The 7,810-nt window shown below is 44.0% G+C and overlaps 1 protein-coding gene across 3 annotated transcripts in view; it reads left to right on the forward strand.

Annotated features, from left to right (window-relative positions):
• NLRP4 (NLR family pyrin domain containing 4) overlaps positions 1-6,277 on the forward strand; it is a 45,316-nt gene extending 39,039 nt beyond the window's left edge. For 2 of the 3 annotated variants that reach the window (NM_134444.5, XM_017026344.1), the window contains 3 exons: positions 1,418-1,588; positions 3,216-3,386; positions 5,892-6,277. In NM_134444.5, the coding sequence (NP_604393.2) occupies positions 1,418-1,588; positions 3,216-3,386; positions 5,892-6,009 (460 nt within the window). In that variant the 3' untranslated portion in view covers positions 6,010-6,277. The remainder of the gene's footprint in view (positions 1-1,417; positions 1,589-3,215; positions 3,387-5,891) is intronic. The other variant, XM_017026345.1, reaches the window with a different exon arrangement.

Consider the following 7,810-nt stretch of genomic DNA (forward strand, 5'->3'; position numbering starts at 1 on the left):
AAAAGTCAGTTTTCTGTAAGTTGAATTCATTTGCTTTCATGAAATCCCAGTGAAAATGCGATGTTTTTGTTTGGTGATTGAGTTGAACTTGAAAAGTAAATTTTAAAATGTGTATGGAACTTGCAAGAGGCCAAGAATACCTAAGAAACACCTAAAATATAAAAAGTGGGCCAGGCGCGGTGGCTCACGCCTGTAATCTCAGCACTTTGGGAGGCTCAGGTGGGTGGATCACCTGAGGTCAGGAGTTCAAGACCAGCTTGACCAACATAGTGAAACCCCGTCTCTACTGAAAAAAAAAAAAATACAGAATTAGCTGGGTATGATGGTGGATGCCTGTAATACCAGCTACTCAGGAGGCTGAGGCAGGAGAATCACCTGAACCCGTGAGGCAGAGGTTGCAGTGAGCTGAGATTGTGCCGTTGCATTCCAGCCTGGACAACAGGAGTGAAACTCCGTCTCAAATAAAAATAATGTAGGAACTCTTGCTCTAAATGTGTCATCTAAAGTTTTAGAAATTAAAAAAGCATGAGATTCACACAGGGATAAGCAGACAGACCAGAGACACAGAATAGAGATCTCAGAAACAGACTGATCCACGTGTGTTCAGATGTCGCATCATGGAATAGCGTATCACTGGTGCAGAGAGAGGATAGACCTCCAACAAACGATGCTGAGACAATTCAGTTGTCCCTCCATATCCATAGGAGGTTGGCTACAGATTTCCCCTGAGGAGTCCAAAATCTGTAGATGCTCAAGTTCCTAATGTAAAATGGCATAGTGTGTGTTTTGAGACAGTCTCTCACTTTGTCGCCCAGGCTGGAGTGCAGTGGTGCGATCTCAGCTCACTGCAATCTCTGCTTCCCGAGTTCAAGTGATTCTTGTGCCTCAACCTCCTGGGTAGCTGGGACTACAGGCACGCATCGCCATGCCCGGCTAATTTTTTGTATTTTTTGTGTTTTTTTTAGTAGAGATGAGGGTTTCACCATTTTGGCCAGGCTGGTCTGGAACTTCTGACCTCAGGTGATCCACCCACCTCAGCCTCCCGAACTGCTGGGATTACACGCATGAGCCACCGCATCTGGCCTATATAGTGTTTGCATATAATGTACAGGCATCTTCCCATAATACTGTAAATCATCTCTAAGTTACTGTGATATGTAATACAATGTAAATGTTGTGTGAACAGTTGTTATACTCTATTGGTTTTTTCGTTTGTATTTTTTAGTGTTGCGTGTTATGTGTTATTGTTTTAATTCTTCAATAATTTCAATCTGCCACTAGTTGAATCTGTGGATATGGAGGACTGACGGTGCCTATCCACATGAATGACAAAGGCTGTCGTGCTTTGGTGTCTCTTTTCCTGATATTAGACTGAGGTGTAATAGCCTTTAAGCATGGTACCCTTACTCCTTTGCAGTTTGGTAAAATGTTTTATCACTGCTGCTGGCTGTGAAGACCTCGCCTCTGCTCTCATCAGCAATCAAAACCTGAAGATTCTGCAAATTGGGTGCAATGAAATCGGAGATGTGGGTGTGCAGCTGTTGTGTCGGGCTCTGACGCATACGGATTGCCGCTTAGAGATTCTTGGGTGGGTATCGCCAAGCTCCTGGTTATGTTTTCATGAGTGGCAAAGACGGAAAATGGATGGGAAGAAAGAGAAAGATGAAAACTCCAACAGGACCACATAGCAGCTAGCTGTGGTTGCATCATGAACCAGTGTAAAACTTCAGGGCTTAAGGCAATGAGAAGTTAGATTGCTGCTGGCTCTGCTTGTCTGGGCAGGCGTCACTGACCTCAGCCAGGTGTGCTTAGGAAGCTGTGGTTAACTGAGGGATTGGCTGGTTTGGGTTGACCTTGCTATATGGTATGGAGGTTGGCTGGCTGGGTTGGCTGTCCCCTTGGGGATGACAGGTGTAACTGGGCCACGTCTCATTATCTAACTGGTTGGCCTGGGCTCATTGACATGGCATCTGTATCAGTTTGCCAGGGTTTAAAAAGTAGCATGGACTGGGTGGCTTAGGTAATGAATTTATCACTTCACGGTTATGGAGGCTGAAAGTCTGAGATCAAAGTGTCAGCAGAGTTGGCTCCTTCTGAAGGCCATGAGGGAGAATCTGCTTCAGGCCCTTCTTGTCTTGTCGATAACCATCTGTCTTCTCCCTGTGTCTTCATGTTCTCTTCCCTCTGTGTGTGTGTGTCTAAATTTCCTCTTATAAGAACACCAGTCATATGATTAGAATCCCCCCAGTGTCCTCATTTTAGCTTAATTGCCTCTATAAAGACCTTGTATCCAAATATGATCACATTTTGGGGTACTGGGGTTTAGGACTTCAACGTATAAATTTTGGCAGGGACAGAAATGAGCCCATAGCAGCATCTCAGGAGTTCAAGAGATGAAGTATAGAAAACATCCAAGATCACCAGGTGTGATAGCTTAGTCCTGCAGTCCCAGCACTAAAGGAGCCTGAGGCAAGCCAATAGCTTGAGGCTAGGAGTTCAAGAACAGGCTGGGCAACATGGTAAAACCCCATCTCCATAAAAATTAGCCAGGCGTGGTGCATGCCTGTAGCCCCAGTTACTCAGGAGGCTGAGGAAGGAAAATTGCTAGAACCCAGGAGGTCAAGGCTGCAATGAGCCATGATCATGCCACTGCACTTCAGCCGGGATGACAGAAACCCCATCTCCACAAAAATTAGCCCGCAGGCGTGGTGCATGCCTGTAGTCCCAGCTACTCAGGAGGCTGAGGCAGGAAAATTGCTAGAACCCAGCAGGTCAAGGCTGCAGTGAGCCATGGTCATGCTGCTGCACTTCAGCCAGGATGACAGAGACCCCATCTCCAAAGAAGAAAAACACCCAAAATGGTGGCTCAGAACTCTCCTAATCTTGCTTCCATTGTTATCTGAGACGGCTTCATACCTTTTTTTGGATAATATGTTATATTATCCAAAGCAAGGTATGAAGCCGGAAATAGACTCTGTTAGTGGAATGAGCTGCAAAGTCACATTGCTGTGGGCAGGGATACAGAGAAGAATGGACACTTATGGCTACTTTTACCACCTACCCACAGACGCGTGATCTGAGGTCGTAAACACTGGACTGTGAGAGATTGCACTTGAGGCAATGGGGTGTGCCTCAACTAGACGTCTAGCTCACATCCCATCCTACCTCCACCCTGAGGCTGGGGCCGCATCTTACCATGTGTCTTTTTATTGCAGGTTGGAAGAATGTGGGTTAACGAGCACCTGCTGTAAGGATCTCGCGTCTGTTCTCACCTGCAGTAAGACCCTGCAGCAGCTCAACCTGACCTTGAACACCTTGGACCACACAGGGGTGGTTGTACTCTGTGAGGCCCTGAGACACCCAGAGTGTGCCCTGCAGGTGCTCGGGTGAGCTGGGGTCTGTTGTGCTCTATGGGCAGAGTGCTCCGGGCTAAGAAGGGATTGGCTGGGACCTGCAGTGTAATCACGTTGCATTTAAAATGCAAATGATGTTCCTTGTCTCAGGGTTGTTGCAGGAGTAAGAACCAAGCAGGTGAGTATAAAACTCTTACCACAGTAAGTGGTGAACAGTGAATGTCCAACAAATGGAAACACTTGTGAAGTGGCCTCATTGTCTGGGGTAACACCCGAGGTTCATTGTCCCAGGGCCGTGGAGATCCAAGGACGCAGAGATCCAAGGACGCAGATACACAAAGAGTGAGGTTAAGAGCAGAAGTTTAATAGGCAAAAGAAAGAAGAGCTGTCTGCTACAGAGAGGGGTCTCGGAAAAATGGATTGCCCGATCCATGGTGAAATGCAGAGGGTTTTATAGACGAGCTGGTGGGAGGTGTGGTGTCTGATCTACATAGGGCATGAAAAACTGGTTAGGACCAGGTGTGCCGTTTGCATAGGGTGTGAATTTCTGGCAGCCCCCACCCCAGTCTTTTATTAAGCAGGCAGGTTCTCTGCCTGAGCTGCACTATGTTGCCCATTTCTTTCTTACTGTACCCATGCTAATAAAAAAGGGAAGATGGTGCTTCCATGGTGAACAGGCCTGGCCCCCAGGTAGCTCTTTTCACTGGCGCAGCTGCTGGCATTCCCCCCATGCAATCTTCGCGCTCCCTTATTTATGTTTGCAGCTCAGTTTTTCAGGATGCTCTTTGTTAGAAAAGAAATGATTTCTTGGGCTGGTTTTTGTTAGAAGGGAAGCTCTGCTGAGGACTTTTGCCCTCACTATCTGCCTAAATAATTTTTTACCTCCTATATCACTTATTATTATAATACAAATTATGATACATGTTTATATTTTAAATATTTATGTGTAAATACAAGTTATATGTATATTCATAAGTATAACATTTATAAATAGAAACTTATATAAACATAATTTATATTTTAATTTGTTATATTTATAATTACATATAATCCCACAAACATTATTTTACTAGATAACTATAGAGTCCTTAACATTTTTCTCATTCATTTTCCCCTACTGTTTTCAAACCAATATGAGATGAAGGTAATCATAGGCAGTTATTAGGCTGTTCATTTCCAGAAAAGGGAAATATAATGGGTTAAAACTGTTATAACTCTAACGCTAAAGAACATTCACTGATTTTTTTTTTTCCATTTTGTGAAGATACAGGTTTGTTTTCTTGAAGTCCATCCTTATAAATCTCCACCTGGAAAGGCTGAGTGCTTGGCATTGTTTCTTTCTCATTTTAATGTTTGCTAAAGATTCAGAATGTAGACTACCAAAGTAGACACGTGATTAAGGGGAAGGACTCAAATTGTCTGCATTCTGAGTCACGGAGGTCTGTGTTTGTCTCCTAGCCTTGCCATGTTTGGCCCTGTAAGCCAGGGTAAGGCATTTGTCCTCTTTGATTATCAGCCTCCTATCTACAAAATAGGGATGATTATTTGGCATGGTAATTATGAAAGTATGCATCAGATAATGTGATAACTATGGCAGAACTAAATAAGTGAGTTTTCATCTTCCTCCAGCCCCTACCATAGATAGTCTCACAAAGATGTGTATTAAGATACATAGTTGTGCTAAAGAACATAGCTTACCCCAACAGTGTGGGACAGTTGCACGCAAACAGATGCCAAATGGAGATGAGAGATATTATACGTAAAAGGAAGGACCAAGACACGGTGATACTTAATCCTTCTGATTCAAAGCAATGATACAACGTATGGGGGCTCCAGAAACAAATTGCTTGAATTTGTATCCAGACTACCACTTTCTGGTTTTGTGACCTTAACATTGTTCTCATTGTCTTCATCACAAGTCGGGACAATTATGCTACCTCATAAGGCAGTTGTGAACATTTAATGAGATAGGCATGTAAAAAGCCTTAGCAGAGGGCCAGGGCCCAGGTACTCGGATAATGGAAACTATTAACTTTATCTTTGAAAAAGTAAAAATAGCTTCAGTCTTTCTCCCTAACTCCCACTGACTTCTTGTTGCAAATCCAAATGTTTGTGTGGAGTTCATGCCTTCTATTACCAATTCTGGACATTTATTTATGTCCAGTGACATATTGGAGCCAGCTCCTACAAGCTGGTGAGAGCCACGTGTGTGTGTGTGTGTGTGTGTGTGTGTGTACCTGTCTTTGTAACTCTGTTTAGTGACAGCAAGTGGGCAGCTCAAAATTGGCCATGATTGCCTTGGAGAATTTACACCACAGAAATTGGCAAAGCTATAAATTGGGACTTTATTTATTTTCTGGGGATCCAGGGGTAACATTTATCAGCATACCGCTGCATTTGATGTGTATGTCTTTCCTCTTGGAGGTAACACCAGGGTTTCCTAGGCTTGTCCTGGGATGAATTAGGGAGAAAGATGAGCTGCAGAAAAGGGAAAAAGTATGTGAATTAAAAATAGAACCTCTTAAAATATTTTACCAGGCTGAGAAAAACTGATTTTGATGAGGAAACCCAGGCACTTCTGACGGCTGAGGAAGAGAGAAATCCTAACCTGACCATCACAGACGACTGTGACACAATCACAAGGGTAGAGATCTGATTGCGAGGAACCTGGGCTCTGACTCGAACACCTGCAAAGGACAGGGACTGGGACCGTTACTTACATGACACTGCACCCAGGAGATACAAATCATTGATACTCTGAGTTGTGAGATTTCTGGCACCCCATTCATAGATTTGATATGATACACGTGGTTTTTATGTGCTCTGTGGCCTTGGATGAGTCACTGAAAGGCCTTCATGGTCTCTCGGTCTCACAAGGACCTCTTAACCCCTCAATAAAGTGTTACATTTCTAAACATTGGAAATTCTTTTTTTGCCTTTTTTTATTTGTATAAATTTAAGGGGTACGAGTATGGTTTTGTTACATGTATATATTGTGTGGGAAAATCTGGGCTTTTAGTATACCTATCACACAGATAGTGTACATTGTACCCATTAGGTCAGTTCTCACCCTGCACCTCCCTCTCACCCTCCTGAGCCTCCAATGTCTACTATTCCACACTTTTTTTTTTTTTTTGAGATAGATTTTCGCTCTTGTTGCCCAGGCTGGAGTGCAATGGTGCAATCGCGGCTCACCACAACCTCCGCCTCCTGGGTTCAAGCGATTTCTCCTGCCTCAGCCTCCTGAGTAGCTGGGATTACAGGCATGCACCACCACGCCTGGCTAATTTTGTATTTTTTTTTTTTTTTTTTTAAGTAGAGATGGGGTTTCTCCATGTTGGTCAGGCTGGTCTTGAACTCCCGACCTCAGGTGATCCACCTGCCTCAGCCTTTCACAGTGGTGGGATTACAGGCGTGAGCCACTGCATCCAGCCACTCTTTATATATTATTTAGCTCTCACATACAAGTAAGAACATGCATTATTTGACTTAGTTTCTGAGTTATCTCACTTAAGATCATGGCTTGAGTTCCATCCATGTTGCTGCAAAAGACATGATTTTATTCTTTTTATGGCTGAATAGGATTCCACTGTCTATAAATCATGTTTTCTTGATCCACTCATCTGCTGGTGGACACTTATGTTGATCCCATGACTTTGCTATTGTGGAGAGTGCTCCAGTAAACACATGGATGCAGGTATCTTTTTAGTATGATTTCTCTTGCTTTGGATAGAACTCGGTAGTGAGGTTGCCGGACAAAATGGTAGCTCTATGTTTAGTTCTTTGGGAAATCTCCATACTGCCTGGAAAATCTTGAAACAGTGTTTGCTACTGATGAATGACTGGAATAGGAGTGCAGGTTGAAGAAACTGTGGCCCCCTCCCCGTGTTGACTTGGAAAGACGCTGGCCACACTGAAAGCACTAGAAAGGCTGGTCTGACTTGGGCACCCTTCTTTCTGCCAGTCCTACTAGGATTCCAGGTTGGGCTCCTGATCTGTTCTTGCCTGATGAAAGCACCTTTTTTATTGGTACATAATAGTGGTATATATTTTGGGGTTCATGTGAATGTTTGGGTAATTTCCATGGCATTGCTAATATTACCTCTCCTCACGGTCTTTGCCTCTCATATTCTTCCCCAAACTCCCCTCTGGCTCTCCTTTCCTCATTGGGCCTCTTGAGTTCTGAGGCTACCCTGTCTCCCCTACCTTTGAATAAAGATCTCTTGGGAGTGGGAGCTGAAAGGAAATTTTAGGAATGGGGGTATTTCACTTCTGAATTTTTTTTTTTTTTTTTTTGGAGACAGATCCTCGCTCTGTCACCCAGGCTAGATTGCAGTGGTGCGATCTTTGCCCACTGCACCCTCCACCTCCCGGGTTCAAGCAATTCTCCTGCCTCAGCCTCCCGAGTAGCTGGGATTACAGGCGCGTGCCACCACACATGGCTAATTTTACTATTT

Source organism: Homo sapiens, chromosome 19, assembly GCF_000001405.40.
Source record: "Homo sapiens chromosome 19, GRCh38.p14 Primary Assembly".
In the NCBI taxonomy this organism is placed as follows: Eukaryota; Metazoa; Chordata; class Mammalia; order Primates; family Hominidae; genus Homo; species Homo sapiens.